Here is a 23,995-nt window from a genome sequence, read left to right as displayed (position 1 = left end):
AACAACAAAATGTAAGATATATCTGGATATATAACAGGCCTGGGGTTAATATTCTTAATATATCTATAGAATATATGTAAAAGAAATTGTTAAGAAGAACCAAGAGACTTCAATGGAGAAATGGACAAAGGACAGAAACAGACAATTCACAAAAGGAAAAATAACTAGAAATAAACGAACAGAAAAATATTCACCAGTCAGCCAAAAACATACAAATTAAACATCAATAAAGTACCACCATTTATCAAGCAAATTATGAAAAAGAATTTTAAAATAATAATATCCATGGCTGGTCAGGTATGGCAAAACTAACATTCTCATATGCATACATAACTATAAGCATTTTAAAGTGGCATAAACCTTTTGGAAAATAATATGGCAATCTTCTTACAATCTTTCCTAAAGAAATAATCAAAAAACTCAGGGTGGGGGATAGAAGGGGACACCTATATGTATAACAATTTATAAATGTTCATCATAACATTTATAAAACTGAAAATAATGTAAATAAACAATAGGGAGAAGATAAATTATGATGTACTGACTAGATCACCAGTACCCTGAGAGTAGGATATGCCTTGTTCATGATGGGAGATCAGAGGCCAAGTATATACAGTATAATCATTAAATAAATATGAGTGAATACAGAAGGAAAGCAAAAATATAAGGCCACTTAAAATGATGGTTAAAATCTAGGTAGGTGCTGGCAAAAGTTTAAGTGAGGGCAAGAACATAAAAGTGTATGATTACAATCATATTTTTGAAAACTGCATTAGAGAAACTACTAGAAGGAAATATATGAAATACTAACAGTCACTGTGCTAAGGGATCTATGAGCAGTAATTCTTTATTGTGGTTATTATCTTTTATTTATTTATTCGCTGTAGAGACAGGATCTTGCTATCTTGCTCAGCTGGTCTTGAACTCCTGGCCTCAAGCTAGTCCTCCCACCTCAGCCTCCCAAAGTGCTGAGATTATAGGTGTGAATCACCACGCCTGGCCTATATTATCTTTATTTAAAATGTAAACATACTCCAGAGCGATTATTATGATGATTATTTAAAATTTAAGTTGATCCTTAGAAATCGGAAAAGAGATAATAATTTAATAACCAATGGAAAATACATAAAATCTCTAAATAGCTCTGTGTTATAAGTAAATCTGCCCAGCTAAAAGAAAAGCATAGTCACACAGAGAGGTCAACAACTGACATTCATTACTTATTTATTTTAATTTTATTTTATTTATTTTTGTCTTTTTTTTTTTTGAGATGGAGTCTCGCTCTGTTGCCCAGGCTGGAGTGCAGTGGTACAATCTCGGCTCACTGCAACTTCCGCCTCCTGGGTTCAAGCGATTCTCCTGCCTTAGTCTCCCGGGTAGCTGGGATTACAGGTGCCCACCAACACACCCAGCTAATTTTTGTATTTTTAGTAGAGACAGGGTTTCAACATGTTGGCCAGGCTGGTCTCAAACTCCTGACCTCAGGTGATCCACCCGCCTCAACCCCCCAAAGTGCTGGGATTACAGGCGTGAGCCACCCCACCTGGCAACATTCATAATTTAGATGTGATGCATCATTTCTGAGTCCTAACTCAGTAATAAATTAACATAGGACAGGAAGTTAAAATGCAGCCACTCAAACAATAGCAAATGCTCAATTTGGTACATTCCTAATTTTTTTCTTTTTTTTTTTCTTTTTATTACACTTTAAGTTTTAGGGTACATGTGCCCAACATGCAGGTTTGTTACATATGTATACATGTGCCATGTTGGTGTGCTACACCCATTAACTCTTCATTTAACATTAGGTATATCTCCTAATGCTATCCCTCCCCCCTCCCCCCAACATTCCTACTTTTTTTCTGAACCCTCTCTGGCTCTGGGCTGAAAGGCTTTAGAACAGTTATCTCCTAACTTGAAGGCTTCCAGTCAGACTGGGTCAATTCTATAATGTCAATGGGAATTTCAGAAAAGCAGGCCAGGCCAGGGGTGGGGTAGGCTGGCAGGGTTTAGGTCCCCAAGTTGAATTACATTTCCATCTTCTAGAAAACTGAAACTACATAACGGGAGAAAAAGAAGGTACAAAACATTACCAGTTCTTCTAAAGCTCTGTAATATTTCAAACTCTTGTTCACAATCCTTTAGTGGGTCATGAAATTAATTGAAACGGTCACAACTAGGATCTTATAAGGGCTGCAACAGAACAGAAAATAGTGTGCATGTCACATTAAGAGGATACCATTTCATAAAACCTTTGTTTCTGTCATATGTGTGTCTATGTGTGAGAGAGTATGTCAGTCTTGCGTAGCAATGCTAACTATATTTTTTACTATGATTTATGGTCTAAAAAGTTTCCAAAGCATTAATCTAGATAACCCAGGCCCTGACTTGGTTGCTGGCAAACCACCCAGAGTTTGAAAGTAAAGGACTCATCTAGAAGTAGGAATGTAGTGAATCTAGTTCAACTGGGTGTTAGGCACTAACACAAAACAAATACTTCTTAATATTTCATCCAGGAATAAATAACCGCTGCCATCCAAAGGCTCTAGAAAGCATCGTTTTACAGTTGCAACATGAGGTGCTGACAGTTTCACACAAGCATGCTGCTTTTTCCCTAATGCGTGCTTTCCTCCACTTGAGATTTTAGGATGATATGGTTGCAGAGACTACTTATCTAGTCACTACAGAAGCACATCACAGTACAAGAGTCATAGCTAGGAAATCTAACCCCCTCCTTTGCCAGATGGACAAACTGAAGCTTAGAGTGATGAAATGCCCCAGGAAATGCCAAGGTCAATGCAGAGTAGAGCTGAGATCAGACTCCCAGTTCTTTTCCAAGAATCCTTAAATTAAAGGCACAGGAGACCATAAAGTAGCACTCCCTGCCAAGAGACAAGGAGATGACCTTTTCTTTTTTGGTCTTACTGGTTAGTTTCTCATACTTCTGAATTAATTTTTACTAAGGACTAAATAAAATATTTGGATGAAGAGGCTCCCTGCCCCGAAATACAAAAAATTTTTTTAAAGAGAAGACTGCTTGCTGAAGTTGCACAAGGGGAGTTTTTTTTGTTTTTTTTTTCTCTGTTAGGGAATTTCTAGGTTAATTGTAACACTCTCCTTGGGAGACCTACTCATATAAAAATAAAGGAGTGTGATCTCTTTTTAAATTCTTTCTATTCTGCCAATAGTTGAGAAGAAAAGCTTGGTATGGTGGTCAGTCTCTTCTAAGTATATACTGTACACAATTTAGTTTAGTGTTACAGATATCAACAAATCACCACCTGCAGTAGTCTTAAATCACAATCTACTTATTGATTTCTAAATGCCACAAAGTGTTTTAATTTTCCCCACACTGTTATTTCTAATGACATCAAGATGATTCTCCATGCTTTCTCAAAGCCAAATGCAAAGTGAAAACAGACAGCCAGAGAAAGATGCTGTGCAAGTAAAAACTCACATTTCCTTTTCTAAAGTTTTGGTTTTGTTTGTTTGGAAAAGGCCATCTCTCTAAAGTTTATTCTAGCTACTTAAATCCTATGATTTTTACCTATATTCCTTTTTCAAAGTAAGTTTAGCAGCACTTGAGGTGTAAGACAGCTGGTCAGGATTTCAAGATTTAAAAATTACTCATTTTAAGAGTGTCAGAATTGCCATCCTAACTTTCCCATAGCATTGCAATATGTGGATGAATATATACTGATTAAGATCTGTGAGGTCCTGGACAGACTCTGGTTTAATAATATAAAAACAGGAAATTCAGAACTGTCAGGAGCTCTGGGATCACTTGAAGCTAATCCTCCTCTAGTAAGCCTCCTCAAATAAGCTTTCCCATAGTGATCTTTCCTTAAAAAGTCAGTCTATTTCTGACCTTTGGAAACACAGAGGCAGCCTGTTCCCAGAAAGATTTGCTAGCATGAAGAGTGCTTCATGTTTTGAATTCGGAGTAAAGGTCTAATTTTCCACAATCATACAGGACAAGTTCCCTCTTTGGGACCTTGAAATCCACAATTATTACCACCAAGTGATGAGTCTCAAGTGCGCAGTGGAAAGTGTATTAATTTTATGCTATTAGAGACTTCACACACTGAAAAATTAGTTTAGATGGGTTCTAATTTTGCTGACTTCAGAGCGCTCACTCCCTCACTCTGAAAAGTCCTCAACTTTCAGAACTGTGCTTGGCACTATAAAACTTTGATTTGCATTTCTTAAGAAAATTGTGCAAATGTTATAAAATACATGGTACATAAAACTCTATCAGGAGCTCAACTGAACTGCACCAAGGTCTAATTATCAAACTAATGGTTGAAGCAGAGAACTGGGATAGTGTAATTTCATAATAAAAAGAATTAATGGTAAATGAACCAATACTATGAGGATTCATAAGATGAAATAAAATTTTAACATATTTTTTTCAGGAAACAGTCAAGTAGTCATGGCCACTTCGAATCATAGTAATTTAGAGTCAGGAAAAAAAGGCCCTCGAAGCAGAAAAAAAATCCAACCCCCTCATCCCAGCCCCTTCCCACTCCCATCCCATATTGTATTGTTGATTACCCTGGCCTAAAGCAAGCTGCTAAACTTCTCTCAGGCTCAACTTAAATACCTTTGCTGACAGAAACTCACAAAATCCTCAGGTCCATTTCAATTCAAAAAGGTGATCACCAGTCATTGCTTAATTCATTCAAGGAACATATAATGCATATCTCCTTTGTGCTAGGCATTGGGGATCAGATCTCCTTATTTTGGGATTAAAAATCTCACCCCTCTCTTAACAATTGCTTGTGCTCTGCCCTCAGGACTTAGAGAGAACACAGCAGGGCCTATGTTGTATAAATTGGTCCTGAATAAAGTCAGAATATAGAAAGGCAGTTCCCCATATCGCCCTCCCCAGTAACTTTCTTCTCTATAGTTATCTCTCCTACAGCCTCCTTCTCTACACCTTACCACCAACACAGGCCTTTTTATCCAGAAAAAGAACCCTGAAATCTTTCAACCAAAGGGTTCAGTAATTTTTGCTATCAGAGTCACTCCTCCTGCAGACACTAATTTCCAGATTCCTCAAAATGTGAGGACACTGAGTGCTGAGTTCTGAACTCAAGCCAATTGGCTCCGTTGTCCACCCTTAATCAGGACATTCTAGTGCTTCTTAATGAATGGGAGTTTTCTTGCCTCCTCTATCTAAAATGCCCTTTCCTCTACAGGAAAGGCTTTTTCACAAGAACTCCTACTCACCCTGCAAGACCCATCTGTAGAAGAGATTGTTGGTCTTCTCTAACCACCACAAGCAGGAGGTTCATTGGCAACCCCAGAGGACAATGTTTGTACCTGTTGTTAACTCCTAGGAAGGGAATGATTTCCTATAATTGCCTAAACGAAACTATCAAGTTACTGAAAGTCTCTGTATGAATGCTAAGATTACTGACTTGTGTTGATATGCTTATAAAGAACTTATGAAGATACAAAGGTCTGCATGGGACTGGTCCCACCTGGAGAGAGGTCCCTCCTGGCTTTCATCACTTGAAGAGGCTGCCACTAAACAAAGGAGCCCCTGCTAAGCTGCTGACTAAACATAAGTCTTGACCAAAACAGAGCAGAGATGTCTGAAAGGAAGCTCCTAGGCAGGGAATGCTAAAATGGCATTCACTCAGAAAAGACAGTCCAAAAAGAAGCTGGGAAATGAGGTATCCAAAATATCAAAGTTTGGTATGCCCTTTGGGTATATAATCTAACTACAACTAAAGCAAAGACAGAATCAGACAAGGGTGGGGAGTTCCTGAAACAGGCTCTGTATTATGGTAGCACCAGAAATCTTTATTTGTAAATCAGATTGTTTTTACATTTCTTCTATTCCTTTATATTTCCTCCATTAATACTGAGTAAAGTTCAAGGCTGTTTGAACTCTGCTAAAAGGAACCTGAAGGCAAGAATTTTTATCCACTCTTGGGCTTGAAGATTTGAGTATTATCAGGCCATTATTGAGGGCAGTTTGAGTCAAAGAATCCTCCAACGGGAGGTAAAATTTAGGGGATAATACAGATTGTGGAATCCTGCCATTCTTCATCTGAAATTCTCTTTCCAATACTAAATCTTGGAAGTAGTAGTTTTGTTTTTATTAAGCAATATTCTTCTAAAATTCCTGCACTAAATTGTGAGCATCTTGAAAGGACCTTATCATTTTCATCATTACCATGTATGCATGTGACTGGAACACAGTAAGTACTCAAATGTTTGTTGACGGAATAAATGAAGCAATTCATGGACTTTCAGAGTTTTGAAGTACTTTAAAGTCCACCTAGTCCAGTACTTTTCCTACAAGTGTATACTTGTCCACATAAGCCTTTCATAGGTCATCATATAATTCACTCAACAAATATCAACTAAAAGTCTACAGTAGTTAAGATGCTGTGCTTTCAGGAACAGCAAAAAAACAGATCAGTCACTGATACAACAAACGTGTATTGAGGACGTATTGCATGCCAGGTACCATGTTAGGCCCTAATGATGATACAATGAATAAGACACACAAAGCTCCATAGGGAACTCACAGAAGAGAAAATAAAATGGACATGAAGTATATACTGTATAACACCGTTTAAAATGGAAAATGTTAAGTGTTTTCAAAGGCACACATAAAGGCAATGAAGAAGTCAAAGGTCAAAAAGATAAACCAGGGTTTCATTAAGAATTTATGGAACACTGCCATTCAGGTATGGAACATTACTTGCGGCTTTAACCTCAGAGTTCAGGAATGAAGATTACTAGTTTCTAGCTAAAGCAGTGAATGGTAATGGCTTTGTAGGTTGTGATGAAAATCAATATTACATTTTCATATATTTAGCATTGTACCAAGTGACATTAACATTGAATTTTGGAAAGCAAGAATATAGATCAATTATTTTAATGAAAACCATAACCAAAACTGAGCTCTAAATAACAAAGTTATGTTCATGTTTGAGTATATGACCCAAAGAAGCACAGACTTGTCAACTTGAAAAAAAGTATATTAATAATAATTCCAGACTTATGGGTGAACCTTATTTAACAGTAACTCCATGACAAAATAATTTCTATTATTTACATTGTACACTAGGAAAGTGAAAATTAGGCTAAGACATAGCTGAACATTGCATTTCTTTCATCCTATAATCAAATGAAATTTATTCTTCAGTTTCATTAATATACACTACTTCAGCGTCTCCAAACACTTGAAAATATACCCCAGTAAAGCTGTTTCCTTCAAGGTAAATGTGGTGAAATGGGAATCAGAAGTTTCAATACTATAATAACACCTTAATATTAAAGGAGCTTAGGATGGTCTGAAGGTAGTTTTATTATCTCAATTGTTCACAGTCAGTTACAGATTGAACTCCTTGTTCTACTCTCTTCCCCTTCTCACTACCGTACTTAACTAGTCTTAAAAAAATAAATAAAATATTAAAGCAGCTTAGGTTTAACTACCCTTCTCCTTTTCTTGATTCCATGAATTTGCTTATGAATTTTCCACAGCAGTTAGAAATTGATCAGTTCCATCTCCAGTAGTTACAGACTGGGAAAGTGACATCTACCAATATATTCCTTCAATATATTTTATGGAATATATCCCATAAAAACAATACTGTGCCAAAGAATTTCTAGGTCCAGAAGCAGTCTTTTTAATAAAATTTTGCCTTTATGGAAAAAATCAAACTTTCTCATAAGGCTTCTCTGTGAATTTCAAAAGGGTCCTACATCCATGTACTCCATTTCAGCCATGAATTTCTTCTGTTCATTGCAGAATGCTTGCCACTGGTGTATGTTTACAATGTTTTCCATTGGATCTGCACAGGAAATTAATCAGGCGCCATTTGTATTGAGCATGATGTAGACAAGAACATGTCATTAATATACTCATCCTAGTTATACTGAAGAACCTAAGACATGAACAAACCTATCGAGCTCAATTGTTGAGGCCACACACTATGCTAAGTGCGGAAATGACTATAAAGACAGCAATGAGCACTTTGTTGCTCAGCCTCTCAATTTTGAGTCACCAAGAAAGGATACTTTACCTCTGCATGATTTGAACTTATATTAAGAAAACCTACTTACTGTAAAATCCCCGTGTTATGTACCTCTACAGTGTTCTTTTGTAAGAATGCTTATATAGATTTTACCAAAGAAACAATTTCAGATAAATTATCATAATACTATCTTCAAGCAACATTACTCTAGAAATTAGCTTCATCAGCTTTATTCCTGCATATTCAAGGAAATTCAGTTAAAGCGAAAACGCAAAACAGAGAGAGTATTTGAAGGCAGAACAACTAGTTCCACTTCTGCATATTAAGCAAAATTAAGCAAAAATAAAGGAAACAGGCAAAGGGAAGGAACTCAAGAGCTATTTGCAGCAGTGATCCGTTACAAGTTCTACGCGCTTCTCCTCGAGCTCCAAGAGATAAGGAGGGGAAAGGAAAGAAGGCACCACGCAGAAGCCTAAACTTACTCTTGGTACAACTTAGAATATTCACTGAATTCAGCCTAAGATGTCTGGGTTATCTGGATTCAGTAGGAATGTCTGGGAAGAAGGAGTGGCATTTGCTTTCTCCGTTTGAAACCCTGGGAGCTGTACGAGAGTACCCCAAACCCCTTGGTTATCTTGCAGAGGCGGCTCAGGGCATCGTTCCCCAAGCACACACCTGCAAAGCCGGGCGGCTCCTCCCCTCTTTCCCTCCTGTCCTCAGGGATGGACCAAAGTCCCTCCAGCGCACCGTTAGCCCGAGGGCCACCCGGCTCCCGCAGGCACTACCCAGCCCGGGGTGAAGCCGGAGCGCTCGCCGCCGTCCCGGCTCCGCTTCCCGGAGCCACACAGCGGAGGCGGCGCGCAGCTGAACACCGGCACCACCAGGATGCGCATTACAATAAAACTTGGGGGAGCAAGTCTACACTCGCGCCGACGTGAAGGCACAGCCCCTGACGCGGGCTCGAGGGCCGTCGGCCCGTCCCGCCCCTCCTCGCGGCCGAATGGCAGTAGTCCATACCTGTCCTCGGAGACGCTGATGACGCCCTCCTCTTTGGGCACGATCACGGCCATATTCACCACCTCCTGGGACCCCTCCATCCGCTGCAGCAGGATCGGCTTGCGGGTCAGAGGCTTGGGCTGGATCTCCGCCGCCATCGGAGGAGGGGGCGCGCCTGGGGCGCCGCCGCCAACCGCGCCGCGGGGCCGGGCTGAGGAGACTGCTGGAGCACGGACACAGGTTGAGACAGAGACTCTGGCTGGCCGGAGCGGAACGCCGGAAACCGGCGAGCATAGCCTGGCCGCCTCTCTCGGGAACGACTCCGCGCTCCCTGCTTCAGGCACCAAAACCGCCACGACCTGGGATGCAAGCCGGCGCCACTACAAGAGGAGGGGGCGGAGCGCCGGGGGGCGGAGCCTGTGTGGGCGGGGCCTGCCGCAGGGGGTAGCCGCTGGTGGGCGCGAGGGCGGCTCCACTTCCGGGAGGGTGGTGAAGGAGGAGGGGAAACCTGGAGCAGGAGGCGGGGATCTGGTATCCCAATGCGCGTGCGTCAGTCCCGCAAGCCCATTTTCACCCCTCCCCTCCGCGACTCCCCGGGCGCTGCAGCACCACTAGGACGCATGCGCTTTCCGTTCCTCGCGGTCTTCTCTCTGCCTTACACACCCAAGGGTTAGGCTCCTCCCTCTTTAACCTCCCGTGAACGCGCGTATACACACCCCTGGGGACGCGCTTGCCAGACGCCACGCCCCTTCGAAATTCCCTGAAAAGAGGGCGGAGGTGGGGCGGGGAAAGGAGCGCCTCAGCAAGACCGGAAAGAGAAGAGGCCTGCAGGAAGGAAAGCCGCCCAACTCGTTGGGACGTGACTTGGCATGCGCGCGGGCTACCTGGCCTAGCGGTCTTAACAATGAAGCGCGGCGGGAGGCCGCTTACTGCTCCCAACATGCACCAGGCCCAGGCTGCCGGAGGGAACCCAGTGGCCTCCTGGGAGTCGTAGTTTCTTGGAGCCTCCGCCCCCTTGTCCTGGAATGACCTATCGCCCACTTTCTGCGCTATGGGCCTGAGGAGCTCAGCGGCCTCCAGGGCCATTGGCCAAGTCAGGACCCAGACTTGCCTCTATGGGAACTGAGGGGCAGCCCCCAGCTGAGTAGGACGTCACCACTCCTAGGGTCAGACTGATGCTCGGAATAGTGGCACGGAAGGGACATGAAAAGGAGAGAATCTTTCATACAGACATCTTCAAGGGAGCTCAGAGAACATATGGGGTGTCTATCCCCTCGTTTTCTTAGATGGCTAAATTACACAGCCAAGGTTACTTTAGTGCAAAGTTAGGGCTAAACAACCCCTCCTTCCCTCCAGACTTGAACCCAGGCCCCTAGTGCTGGCTTCTTTCCATTTCCCCAGCAATCCAGCCTTTTTAGCTTGCTCCAGACACAACGGACAGAGTTACTGTAGTTACTGACTGAATGTTAGGTGCCTACCAGAAGGCCTGGCATGTGGGGTTGATCGTGAAGACTAAGCTCTGCTTTTTTATCTTGCCCAAATTCCTATCTAAGGGGTCTGGGGAGTCATGGCCTACAAAAACCATAAATTCTCATCAGATGGGTTTTGACCATGTAGGTCATGACTTACTTTCCAGTCTGACTCTGGCGTAACAAGGAAGAAAATCAAAATGTTTTACCCCAAATTATATTTCCTTGCCATGCCTTAAAATTGCCCTGCAAAGTCTCTTGTGGGAAAAATCCACATTCTATATCCCCTTTCCCCTTTGTTTTCCTTCCTTCCTTCCTACACCCAGGAGATAACCAACTAAGAGCCAGGCACCGTTTTAGGTCTGGTAAGGAACATTTTACAACCTGCTGTCTCTAAAGGCTGCTATCTAAAAGATTCCTCTGCACAATAAAACCTGGTCTCCACAATCCTTTACCTTAACCTGAACATTCCTTTCCGTTGATCCCAGGTCTTCAGATAAACTCAACCAATTGTCAACCAAAAAACGTTTAAATTTACCTATAGCCTTGAAGCCCCCGCTTTAAGTGGTCCCACTTTTCTGAACCAAACCAATGTATTTCTTAAATGTATTTGATTGATGTCTCATGCCTTCTTAAGATATATAAAACTCAGCTGTACCCCGACCACCTTGGGCACATGTTCTCAGGACCTCCTAAGGGCTATGTCACGGGCCACGGTCACTCATATTTGGCTCAGAATAAATCTCTTAAAATATTTTACAAAGTTTAATTCTTTTCATCAATAGTCGTTATGTGATAACCTCCACTGAACAATCCCAGAATTAAGTTAGCCGAAGAGTAGTAATGGTCTAGGTGGTGTGATTGAGTTGCAGGGCTCTGAAAGTGAGAGAAATAATGCCAAAGCTGGGAAAAGAAAGGGACAGGCCTTGTGGAAATGTATTTCTAAGGTAGGTGTTTGGTAGCCAAGGATCTCACAGATCACTAGAGACATAAGAGAACAGGTGCAAAGAACTTGTCTCAAAGCACGCAAGGCAACTCTTTACCACCTCCCATTTTGCAGAAATTCTGTAAGCACCTTGAAATAGGATTGAGGTATTTTCCAGCTGTAGGACCTACTGCAGGCATTTCACTTCTCTGAGTCTCAGGTTCCACATCTATTTAAATAGGGCATAACACCTACATCAGGTGGTTCTGGTGGCAATTACAGTTATGACCCAGATAACTTCCCCCATCCCCTTAAAGTTACAAAGGAGGTAGCACTGGCTGCTCCCACCCCAGGCTTTATGGGAATTAGAACCTGAATAGCATTACCATAACCCTGAGTCTGACCCTCAATTCCAAAGAGCCAGAATCTCTGTCTTGTCAATCATTCAAGAAATATTTAATAACTACTAGTGATAGGCAGGGGGAACACAGATTTGAATGCAAACCTCTCAATTCTCAAGAATCTCACAGATCACTAGAGACAGATAAAAGAACGGGTCATGACAGGGAAGTGATGATGGCAAGAGTTATAATAGGGGACTCAGGAAGCTGAGGTAACACAGGAGAAATGCCTAACAGGACCTGCAGTGGAGAGGGTTGGGCAGGAAAAGCTGCATAGAGGAGGTAGAGGCTAGACAGAGTCTTGAAGGGTGAGCAGGTGCAGTCTGGTTACATGAGCTCAAAGAGTATTCGGGAGAGGGGTGAGTAAAGTGGGGGCAGTCCTTGCATGCTTGTTAGGGAAGTGAAAGGCTTATGAAGAGAGAGGTGAAGGTGAGGACATTACAGGGGCTGAGTTTGGACCATGGCCTGATGCCCCTTGTTCTTGGTTGGAAGAGATGCACCCTGGGCACCTGCCACATCATCCTCAGGTGGGATGGGTACTCAAACTATCAATTACTATCAATGTGACAGCTGCTACAATGAAAGTGCTGTGAAGTGCAGTGAGAACTGGAAACCCTGACCTGTGTCTGGCTGTTAAATCAGGGAAAGTTTTCTGGAGCAGAAAGAGCTCATCTGGAGTTTGGAACTAGTAAATCCAGACAGAGGAAACAGCATGTGCAAGAGGTGAGAAGTTGAGAGAATTGCCTCATCTCTTCTGGGAACCTCTAGTAGCTGGAGGGCAAAGTTTGAGGAGGGAGGAAGGTCAAGATATTGGGCTGGAAATATGGACAGGTGTGGACAAGCTCCTTGTTTAGGAGCTTGAGTTTTAACCTTCATGTGATGGAGAACTGCTGTGTCCTCAGAGCACGTCTCTGCTGTGACCAGCACAAGTTCAAGCTCCTGGAATGATACAAGAGACATCTACTGCTCTTGGAGGTCATCGTTGGAAGGGGAAAAGGAAGACAGCTAGTGAATGTAGAAATTCACTGTGAGCCACATACTCCAGCACTCTATCCTCGTAATTGTGTAATTACAATTGTATTATAATTGTCAGAACCCTTGGTTGCAGGTAACAAAAACACAACTGGCTAAAAAAAGAAAGGCATAGGTTATTATTGGCTTATGCCATAGAAAGTCAGAGAGGCAAATTGCCTTTCTTGCAGTCACACAGTTATAACAGATGACAGCGGTTACATACACTCAAGTCTGTCTGTCTCTCTTGCCTCCAGGTTCATTTATTCAAATATTCCCACCCCATTGATTATTTGGCTTCCTAGGAGACTTCTGATTCACTGACCATCACACTTTTCACTGTCCAATGTAGTCATAAGATTACATGTTATTATATGTAATGAGCTAAAACCAGTGCCTGCCACCCAGTAACCACCATGTAGGGTTTGCCATTATATTATGATTATCCATTATCCCCTTCATGTTCTCACTTCCCTCCTTTCACTACTTAACTCCCATTGTCCATTATCCTAACAGTCTCTTGCAAACACCCATGGCATCCTTGCCTCTCTCTCATTCTTGGCAGGCAAAACTCCAATCCTGACCAATCCAACTTTTCACTTACTTCATATCTGCTTTGAACTTGGCAGATGAAAATTGCACAAACATTCTGATTGGTCTCACTCTAGACTCACAACTGTAGGTCTCTGGTAATTCTCTTTAATTAGAAAGTTGGCCAGGCGCGGTGACTCAGGCCTGTAATCCCAGCACTTTGGAAGGCCGAGGCGGGCGTATCACTTGAGGTTAGGAGTTCGAGACCAGCCTGGCCAACGTGGTGAAACCCCATTTCTACTAAAAATACAAAAATTTGCTGGGCTTGGTTGCGCATGCCTGTAATCCCAGCTACTTGGGAGGCTGAGGCAGGAGAATCGCTTGAACCCAGGAGGCAGAGGTTGCAGTGAACTGAGATCGCACCACTGCACTCCAGCCTGGGTGACAGAGCAAGACTCGTCTCAGAAAAAAAAAAAAAAAAGAAAGTAGACGCAATCAGAAGCTGTCTCATCTTCATGTCATCAGATCTATCAACCTGCCTGCATCTGTATCCGTATTCTTCCATACTCTCTGCCTTTCTTCTGTAACAATGGAAAAAGACTGCTCCCATTCAAGGCCAGCATGAGTAAACCTCTCTTTCCTCATTGAAGATTCCTGCAGTTATTCACTCTCTATGTTGCGCCACTTTTTCCTTCTCTATTGGATCTTTCCCAGTGGAGTATAAACGTGCACTACTCTGTCTCCCATTTTTTAAATAAAGTAAACACAAGACAGGCGTAGTAACTCACGCCTGTAATCCCAGTACATTGGGAGGCTGAAGCAGGTGGATCACTTGAGCCCAGGTGTTCGAGACCAGCTTGGCAACATGAAGAAACTCAGTCTTTTCAAAAAATACAAAAATTAGTGGGCTGTGGTGGCATGCACCTGTGGACCCAGCTACTCAGGAGGCTGAGGTGGGAAGATTGCTTGAACCCTGGAGTCAGAGGTTGCAGTGAGCCAAGATCGTGCCATTGCACTCAGCCTGGGCAACAGAGTGAGACCCCCTGGTCTAAAAAAAAAAATAAATAAATAAACCACAAAACTCTTCTAGCTGCACATTCTCCTCCATTTCTTCATTCTTCTTCTCAGAAAACTACTCAGTTTGTTTGGACTTAGAATTTCCACATCCTCATTTCCCATTCTCTCTTCAACTATCTTAAGAATCTTCCTAAATCTACACACCATTAGAACTTCTCTTGACAAGATCAAACAACCTCTGTCTCGCCAAATGCAATGGCCATTTCTTCCGCCTCATCTTAATTTGCTTCTCAGAAGCATTCAGCACAATTGACCACTCTTCTTGCCTTGATACTCTTCCTTTGGTTTTCATGGCTTCACACTTTCTTAGTTTTCCTCCTAGGACATTGGTACTCTTCACAGACTTACCTCCTCCTGGACTTCACTCTTCAATTCTGCAGTGCTCTAGGATTCAGTCTTCAGCCCTCTTCTCTTCTTTATCCACAGTCTTTCTAGGTGATCTTATCTAATTTTAATGGCTCTATTTGTTTCCTATTGCTGCTGTAACAAATTGCCACAGACTTAGTGGCTTAAAACCACACAAATTTATTCTCTCGTATTTCTGGGGGTCAAAAGTCCAAAAGGGGTCTTTCTGGGCCAAAGTCAAGAGTTTCAACAGGGTTGATTCCTTATGAGGCACTGAGGGGAAAACCCATTTTCTTGCCTTTTTCAGCTTCTAGTGGCCATCTGTATTCTTTAGTTTGTAACCCCTTCCTCCTTCTTTAAATTGTGGCACTCCAGTCTCTGCTTTTGTTACCACATCACCTTCTCCAATTCTAACTTCTCTGTCCTCCCTCTTTTTTTGTTTGTGTTTGTTTTTGTTTTTGTGATGAAGTCTCACTCTGTTGCCCAAGCTGGAGTGCAGTGGCGCAATCTCGGCTCACTGCAACCTCTGCCTCCTGGGTTCAAGTGATTCTCCTGCCTCAGCCTCCAGTGTAGCTGAGACTACAGGCCCACGCCACCATGCCTGGCTAATTTTGGTACTTTTAGTAGAGACGGGGTTTCACCATGTTGGCCAGGCTGGTCTTTAACTCCTGACCTCATGATCCGCCTGCCTCTGCCTCTCAAAGTGCTGGGATTACAGGCATGAGCCACCTCACCCGGCCAGTCCTCCCTCTTATAAGGACTGTTGTGACTACATGGGACTGCCCAGCTATCCAGGATAATCTCCTCATCTCAAGATCCTTAACTTAATCACATTTGCAAAGTCCCTTTTGCAGTATTTGTCAGTTCCAAGGATTGGGCTGTAGACATATTTGGGGAATTGTTATTCAGCCAACCGTGGTTTTAAGTACCTTACTCCCAAATTCTCATCTCCAGCTCTGACCTCACTCCTGAATTCCAGACTAATATATCTAATGACTTCTCCACTTTGTCACTTACTGTTTAATAGATGTTTTAAATGTTCCCAAACAGTATCTTTAAATCTACTGCATCTGTCACCCAATTGTTCAAAAGTAAGTTCCTAGGAGTCATCCTTGATTCTCCTCTTTTTCTCATTACTCATATCCAAACCATTAACAAGTCCTGTCAGCTCCACCTCCGAAGTATATCTTGACTTGTTCCACTTTATGCTGTCTCTACCTCGGTCCAAGTTGCCATAATCTCTGGCCCCTAGCACAGTAGCCTAACTGGTTTCTCTGCTTCTTCTCTTGAACTCTTCTCATCAACCCCGTGCAATCAATTTTTATCACAGTAGCCAGAGTGATTTTCGTTTTAAAATATAAACCATACTATATTCCTCCATATTATATTCCTCCACTGCTTTCAATTCATCAGTGCTTATCATTACACTTGGGATAAAACGCCTCACCAACCTCACCTCTCCTCCTGCTCAGTAATGGCTTAGAAAGTCCACAGAAACACAAACTTCCTTCCTACTGGTGGTCTTTGCACCAGCTATGTGCACCTCCTAGTTATTTTCTTCTCACCGTTCAGGCTTAAGCTCCAATGTTAGCTCCTAAAAGAGTCTTACCTAGCCGGGCACATTGGCTCATGCCTGTAATGCCAGCACTTTAGGAGGCCGAGGCGGGCAGATCATTTGAGGTCAGGAGATCGAGACCAGCCTGGCCAACATGGCGAAACCCTGTCCCTACTAAAAATGCAAAAATTAACTGGGTGTGGTGGCATGTGCCTGCAGTCCCAGCTATTGAGAGGCTGAGGCACAAGAATCACTTGAACCCAGGAGATGGAGGTTGCAGTGAGCCAAGATTATACCACTGCTAGCCTGGGTGACAGAGTGAGAGAGACACCATCTCGAAAAAAAAAAAAAAAAAAAAGAGTCTTACCTACCACCTCTAAAGTACCCCACCTCTTCATAACACTCACTGTCATATCACTTTATTTTCTTCACAGTACTTACCTCTGCCCAAAATCATCTTGTTTGTTTCTTATGCATTTGTTAGTCTCCCTTCTCTAGAAGAGAAGCACCGGGAGAGAAAGGATCTTGACTGTCTGTGCACCATTGTATTCCTAGCCCCTAAAGTAGCACCTGGCATGTTAGGAGGCATGTTTTAAATATTTGTTGAATGAATGACTAGCCAGAGGCAGGTCCAGATTTGTTTAACTCTATTCCATTAAAGCATAATGGAAACACTGGAATCTGGAATTTGCCCTAATTTGTGGGATAGGTCTGACTTTGGGAAAAAATACACAACTGCAGGTATGTCCAACAGGCATAGGAAAATATCAGTATGGTAAAGGCAACATGTTAGTAATTTGTATCCAAGAGAAAAGCATAGCATGAAATAAATGAGGTGTCCTAATAGACAGGTAGGAGAAACTGAAAAATTACAGCTTCTGGACTTCCTGATAGAGGAAGACTACCCTAGTAGTTCTTAACCTTTTAGGTCACAGACCTTATTAAAAATCAGATCAACATTATACATCTGCTAGAGGAGGAGGCATGTACCCATGTACAAACTAAATTTTACATGCGATTTCAGAAGGCACACAACCATCAGAAATCCAGCCTGAGAATTCCTGCCTGCTCTGGGAAAATGTAAGACTACTTAGCCCGACTCCCTACCACACAAGAAAGGGCATTCTGATGGGGATCAAGGACAGAAAGGAGTAGACTTCTAGAAAAATGATTTTCAAATTTCTTTGTTCATATACCACTTTAAATAATTTTGAAAAACTTCTAACCCCTTGCAGAAATTAAGTATAATTTTAAATGTTTGAGTCTGAATTCTAGCACCTTGTAAATATTAACATTTATTATAAAGATTTTTACATTTGAGAATCTCTTATTGATTCCCCTTGTAATACTATCTGAAACAAAAATATTTATGTGTGACTATGTATACATAAATTAAAATTCTATAATTTGTTTAATATACTAAGGCCATAGGCTCTAATTTTTCAGTTTCTTCTAGATTAACTGATCATTACAATGGTTAGTTCACAATAGTTAAAACAACCAAAATATATTACAGTTTTATGTAAAACTATTAAACAAAAAAGTAAATTTTCTTTTCTTTCTTTTTTTTTTTTTTTTCAGGTACAGAGTCTGGCTGCAGTGCAGTGGTATGATCTCGGCTCACTGCAACCTCTGCCTCCCTGGTTCAATCGATTCTCCTACCTCAGCCTCCTGAGTAGCTGGAGTTACAGGCACCGGCCACCATGCCTGGCTAATTTTTTGGTATTTTTTAGTAGAGACAGTGTTTTACCATGCTGGCCGGGCTAGTCTTGAACTCCTGACTTCAGGTGATCCACCTGCCTCAGCCTCCCAAAGTGCTGGAATTATAGGCATGAGCCACCATGCCTGGCCAAAAGTAAATTTTTAATAAAAATTTTTATTGGAGATGAACAAGACTGGGTTTTTATATTTCCCTGTATTCAAAAATAAATAATAATTTATTGTTAGAATTAAGCAGGATTCAGGATCAATTCTATTTCTATATTTTATTTTGTAAATGTAAGGACTGAGCAACCTCATTTACGTAAATAGAGGGAATGGAGAGAGTTTTGGTGTAACAATGCCACTCAGTTATTTTTTTCTTTTTCTTTTTCTTTTTTTTTTTTTGATACGGTGTTTCACTCTTGTTGCCCACGCTGGAGTGCAATGGCCCGATCTTGGCCCACTGCAACCTCTGCCTCCCAGATTCAAGGAATTTTCCTGCCTCAGCCTCCCAATAGATGGGATTACAGGCATGTGCCACCACACCTGGCTAATTTTGCACTTTTAGTGGAGACGGGATTTCACCATGTTGGCCAGGCTGGTCTCGAATTCCAGACCTCAGGTGATCCACCCACCTTGGCCTCACAAAGTGCTAGGATTACAGGTGTAAGCCACTGCACCCAGCCACCACTCAGTTCTTTGAACTCTTTTTGAGTTAAATGTGAAAAATCACACAGTTGGGAAATAATTTTTGCAAATCATATATCTGATGAGGTTCTTATATCTAGAATATCTAAAGAACACTTACAACTCAATAATAAAAAGACAACCCCATTTTTAAATGGGCAAAGGATCTGAATAGACATGTCTCCAGAGGAGATATACAAATGGCCAATAAACACATGAAAAGATGCTCAATATCATTAGCCATCAAGGAAATGCAAGTCAAAACCAATGAGATAGCACTTTACAACTACTAGAATGGCTATAATAAAAAAGATACATGACAACAAATGTTGGCAAGGATATGGTGAAATTTATTTCTTTCACTGCTGGCAGGAATGTAAAATGGTACTGCCTCTTTGGAAAACAGTCTGGCAATTCTTCAAAATGTTAAACATAGTGTTACCATATGACCCAGCAATTGCACTTCAGCTATCTACCCAAGAGAAGTAAAAACTTAGGTTCATATAAAAATCTGAACGTAAATGTCCAAAGCAGCATTATTTGTAATAGCCAAGAAGTGGAAATAACCCAAATGTCCTTCAACTGATACATAGATAAAATGTGGTATATCTGGCCAGGTGTGGTGGCTCACACCTGTAATCCCAGCACTTTGAGAGGCTAAGGCGGGTGGATCGTGAGGTCATGAGTTCAAGACCAGCCTGGCTAACATGGCGAAACCCCGTCTCTACTAAAAATACAAAAAGTAGCCGGCTGTGATGGTGGGTGCCTGTAATCGCAACTACTCAGGAGGCTGAGGCAGGAGAATCGCTTGAACCCTGGGAGGTGGAGGTTGCAGTGAGCTGAGATTGTGTCACTGCACTCCAGCCTGGGTGACAAGAGCAAGACTCTGTCTAAAAAAAAAAAAAAAGAAAAAGAAAAAAAAGTGATATATCCATACAGTGTGATAGTATTCAGCAATAAAAATAATTTTTTTTCTTTTTTGAGATAGATTCTCACTCTGTCACCCAGACTGAAGTGCAGTGGCACAATCATAGCTTATTGTAGCTTCAAACTCCTTGGTTAAAGCAATCTTCCTACCTCAGCCTCCCAAGTAGCTAGGGCTACTGGCACACACCATCATGCCCCACTAACTTTTAAACATTTTTTGTACAGACATGTTCTCATTACCAGGCTAGTCTTGAGCTCTGGGGCTCAAGTGATACTCCTGCCTTAGTCTCTCAAAGTGCTGGGACTGCAGGTGTGAGCCACCACACCTGGCGGCATCACATTCTTATATATTTTCCACCAAATTTTAGAGCTGCAGATTTTTATGGAAAAAGTCCACTGTGTAGCCTACTTATCAAAATGCTATTGTCAAACCAATTAGGTAAATCAGACTCATTTTCTGTTATAAAAACCCAACTTTGTTTTTTCCATCCAAAAAAATTAATATCATTTTGAAGAATACTGTAATAATATAATAGAATGCATCTTTTAAGATGGACTATTAAATGTAGTCAAGATTTCAATGATATATAAACAATAATTATCAATTTTTAATAATTTATTAAAATAATAAACCAATATGCTTTTCTTATTACTTAATATAAGCTAATGTGTGGCTTAAGTTATAAATTTTTGGGAAACAAGAAAAATAAAAGACCTGATATGATATTCTTTTTTTTATTATTATACTTTAAGTTTTAGGGTACATGCGCACAATGTGCAGGTTTGTTACATATGTATACATGTGCCATGTTGGTGTGCTGCACCCATTAACTCATCATTTACATTAGGTATATCTCCTGATGCTATTCCTCCCCACTCACCCCACCCCACAACAGGCCCCGGTGTGTGATGTTCCCCTTCCTGTGTCAAAGTATTCTCATTGTTCAATTTCCACCTATGAGTGAGAACATGTGGTGTTTGGTTTTCTGTCCTTGTGATAGTTTGCTGAGAATGATGGTTTCCAGCTTCATCCATGTCCCTACAAAGGACATGAACTCATCATTTTTTATGGCTGCATAGTATTTCATGGTGTATATGTGCCACATTTTCTTAATCCAGTCTATCATTGTTGGACATTTGGGTTGGTTCCAAGTCTTTGCTATTGTGAATAGTGCCGCAATAAACATACGTCTGCATGTGTCTTTATAGCAGCATGATTTATAATCCTTTGGGTATATACCCAGTAATGGGATGGCTGGGTCAAATGGTATTTCTAGTTCTAGATCCCTGAGGAATCGCCACACTGTCTTCCACAATGGTTGAACTAGTTTACAGTCCCCACCAACAGCGTAAAAGTGTTCCTATTTCTCCACATCCTCTCCAGCACCTGTTGTTTCCTGACTTTTTAATGATCGCCATTCTAACTGGTGTGAGATGGTATCTCATTGTGGTTTTCATTTGCATTTCTCTGATGGCCAGTGATGATGAGCATTTTTTCATGTGTCTTTTGGCTGCATAAATGTCTTCTTTTGAGAAGTGTCTGTTCATATCCTTTGCCCGCTTTTTGATGGGGTTGTTTGTTCTTTTCTTGTAAATTTATTTGAGTTCTTTGTAGATTCTGGATATTAGCCCTTTGTCAGATGAATAGGTTGCAAAAAGTTTCTCCCATTTTGTAGGTTGCCTGTTCACTCTGATGGTAGTTTCTTTTGCTGTGCAGAAGCTCTTTAGTTTAATTAGATCCCATTTGTCAATTTTGTCTTTTGTTGCCATTGCTTTTGGTGTTTTAGACATGAAGTCCTTGCCCATGCCTGTGTCCTCAATGGTAATACCTAGGTTTCCTTCTAGGGTTTTTATGGTTTTAGGTCTAACATTTAAGTCTTTAATCCATCTTGAATTAATTTTTGTATAAGGTGTAAGGAAGGGGTCCAGTTTCAGCTTTCTACCTATGGCTAGCCAGTTTTCCCAGCACCATTTATTAAATAGGGAATCCTTTCCCCATTGCTTCTTTTTGTCAGGTTTGTCAAAGATCAGATAGTTGTAGATGTGTGGCATTATTTCTGAGGGATCTGTTCTGTTCCACTGGTCTATATCTCTGTTTTGGTACCAGTACCATGCTGTTTTGTTTACTGTAGCCTTGTAGTATAGTTTGAAGTCAGGTGGTGTGATGCCTCCAGCTTTGTTCTTTTGGTTTAGGATTGACTTGGCAATGTGGGCTCTCTTTTGGTTCCATATGAACTTTAAAGTAGTTTTTTTCCAATTCTTTTTTTTTTTTTTTTTTTTTGAGACAGAGTCTTGCTCTGTTGCCCAGGTTGGAGTGCAGTGCTGCGATCTCGGCTCACTGCAAGCTCCACCTCCCGGGTTCACACCATTCTCCTGCCTCAGCCTCATGAGTAGCTGGGGTTTCAGGCGCATGCCACCACGTCCGGCTAATTTTTTTTATTTTATTTTTTAGTAGAGACGGGGTTTCACCGTGTTAGCCAGGATGGTCTCGATCTCCTGACCTTGTGATCCACTGGACTGGGCCTCCCAAAGTGTTGGGATTACAGGCATGAGCCACTGTGCCTGGCCCAGTTTTCTCCAGTTCTGTGAAGAAAGTCATTGGTAGCTTGATGGGGATGGCATTGAATCTATAAATTACCTTGGGCTCTATGGCCATTTTCACGATATTGATTCTTCCTATCCATGAGCATGGAATGTTCTTCCATTTGTTTGTATCCTTTTATTTCATTGAGCAGTGGTTTGTAGTTCTCCTTGAAGAGGTCCTTCACATCCCTTGTAAGTTGGATTCCTAGGTATTTTATTCTCTTTGAAGCAATTGTGAATGGGAGGTCACTCATGATTTGGCTCTCTGTCTGTTATTGGTGTATAAGAATGCTTGTGATTTTTGCACATCGATTTTGTATCCTGAGACTTTGCTGAAGTTGCTTATCAGCTTAAGGAGATTTTGGGCTGAGATGATGGGGTTTTCTAGATATACAATCATGTCATCTGCAAACAGAGACAATTTGACTTCCTCTTTTCCTAACTGAATACCCTTTATTTCCTTCTCCTGCCTGATTGCCCTGGCCAGGACTTCCAACACTATGTTGAATAGGAGTGGTGAGAGAGGGCACCCGTCTTGTGCCAGTTTTCAAAGGGAACGCTTCCAGTTTTTGCCCATTCAGTATGATATTGGCAGTGGGTTTGTCACAGATAGCTCTTATTATTTTGAGATACGTCCCATCAATACCTAATTTATTGAGAGTTTTTAGCATGAAGTGCTGTTGAATTTTGTCAAAGGCCTTTTCTGCATCTATTGAGATAATCATGTGGTTTTTGTCTTTGGTTCTGTTTATATGCTGGATTACGTTTATTGATTTGCATATGTTGAACCAGCCTTGCATCCCAGGGATGAAGCCCACTTGATCATGGTGGATAAGCTTTTTGATGTGTTGCTTGATTCGGTTTGCCAGTATTTTATTGAGGATTTTTGCATCAATGTTCATCAGAGATATTGGTCTAAAATTCTCTTTTTTTGTTGTGTCTCTGCCAGGCTTTGGTATCAGGATGATGCTGGCCTCATCAAATGAGTTAGGGAGGATTCCCTCTTTTTCTATTGATTGGAATAGTTTCAGAAGGAATGGTATCAGCTCCTCCTTGTACTTCTGGTAGAATTCGGCTGTGAATCCGTCTGGTCCTGGACTTTTTTTGGTTGGTAAGCTATTAATTATTGCCTCAATTTCAGAGCCTGTTATTGGTCTATTCAGAGATTCAACTTCTTCCTGGTTTATTCTTGGGAGGGTGTATGTGTCAAGGAATTTATCCATTTCTTCTAGATTTTCTAGTTTATTTGCATAGAGGTGTTTATAGTATTCTCTGATGGTAGTTTGTATTTCTGTGGGATCAGTGGTGATATCTGCTTTATCATTTTTTATTGCGTCTATTTGATTCTTCTCTCTTTTCTTCTTTATTAGTCTTGCTAGCAGTGTATCAATTTTGTTGATCTTTTCAAAAAACCAGCTCCTGGATTCATTGATTTTTTGAAGGGTTTTTTGTGTCTCTATCTCCTTCAGTTCTGCTCTGATCTTAGTTATTTCTTGCCTTCTGCTAGCTTTTGAAGTGTTTGCTCTTGCTTCTGTAGTTGTTTTAATTGTGATGTTAGGGTGTCAATTTTGGATCTTTCCTGCTTTCTCTTATGGGCATTTAGTGCTGTAAATTTCCCTCTACACACTGCTTTGAATGTGTCCCAGAGATTCTGGTATGTTGTGTCTTTGTTCTCATTGGTTTCAAAGAACATCTTTATTTCTGTCTTCATTTTGTTATGTACCCAGTAGTCATTCAGGAGCAGGTTGTTCAGTTTCCATGTAGTTAAGCTGTTTTGAGTGAGTTTC

General features: G+C 41.4%; 1 protein-coding gene and 1 pseudogene across 6 annotated transcripts in view, besides 3 other annotated features; one reads left to right on the top strand and one right to left on the bottom strand.

Moving 5' to 3' along the window:
• Window positions 1–9,380, bottom strand: part of WDFY2 (WD repeat and FYVE domain containing 2) — a 183,248-nt gene extending 173,868 nt beyond the window's left edge. For all 6 annotated transcript variants that reach the window (XR_007063659.1, XR_941483.2, NM_052950.4 and 3 more), the window contains exon 1: window positions 9,018–9,380. Coding sequence is in view for 3 of the 6 variants with exons in the window: in NM_052950.4 (NP_443182.1) it covers window positions 9,018–9,154 (137 nt within the window). In the remaining 3 variants the exon portion in view is untranslated. The remainder of the gene's footprint in view (window positions 1–9,017) is intronic.
• RNY1P6 (RNY1 pseudogene 6) lies at window positions 7,310–7,418 on the top strand (annotated as a pseudogene).
• Window positions 9,160–9,529: a silencer, noted in NCBI's record as "silent region_5375". NCBI's record gives its function as "represses an Ori minimal core promoter by ATAC-STARR-seq in GM12878 lymphoblastoid cells {active_cell/tissue: GM12878}" and the evidence as "EXISTENCE:reporter gene assay evidence [ECO:0000049][PMID:35858748]".
• Window positions 9,608–10,128: an enhancer, noted in NCBI's record as "OCT4-H3K27ac hESC enhancer chr13:52157850-52158370 (GRCh37/hg19 assembly coordinates)". NCBI's record gives its function as "activates a minimal SCP1, AML or CMV promoter by ChIP-STARR-seq in primed H9 embryonic stem cells {active_cell/tissue: H9 hESC(primed)}" and the evidence as "EXISTENCE:reporter gene assay evidence [ECO:0000049][PMID:30033119]".
• Window positions 9,670–9,949: an enhancer, noted in NCBI's record as "active region_7775". NCBI's record gives its function as "activates an Ori minimal core promoter by ATAC-STARR-seq in GM12878 lymphoblastoid cells {active_cell/tissue: GM12878}" and the evidence as "EXISTENCE:reporter gene assay evidence [ECO:0000049][PMID:35858748]".

The sequence above is a fragment of the Homo sapiens genome, chromosome 13 (genome assembly GCF_000001405.40).
Source record: "Homo sapiens chromosome 13, GRCh38.p14 Primary Assembly".
Taxonomy (NCBI): Eukaryota; Metazoa; Chordata; class Mammalia; order Primates; family Hominidae; genus Homo; species Homo sapiens.
This window is presented reverse-complemented; position numbering and strand designations above follow the sequence as displayed.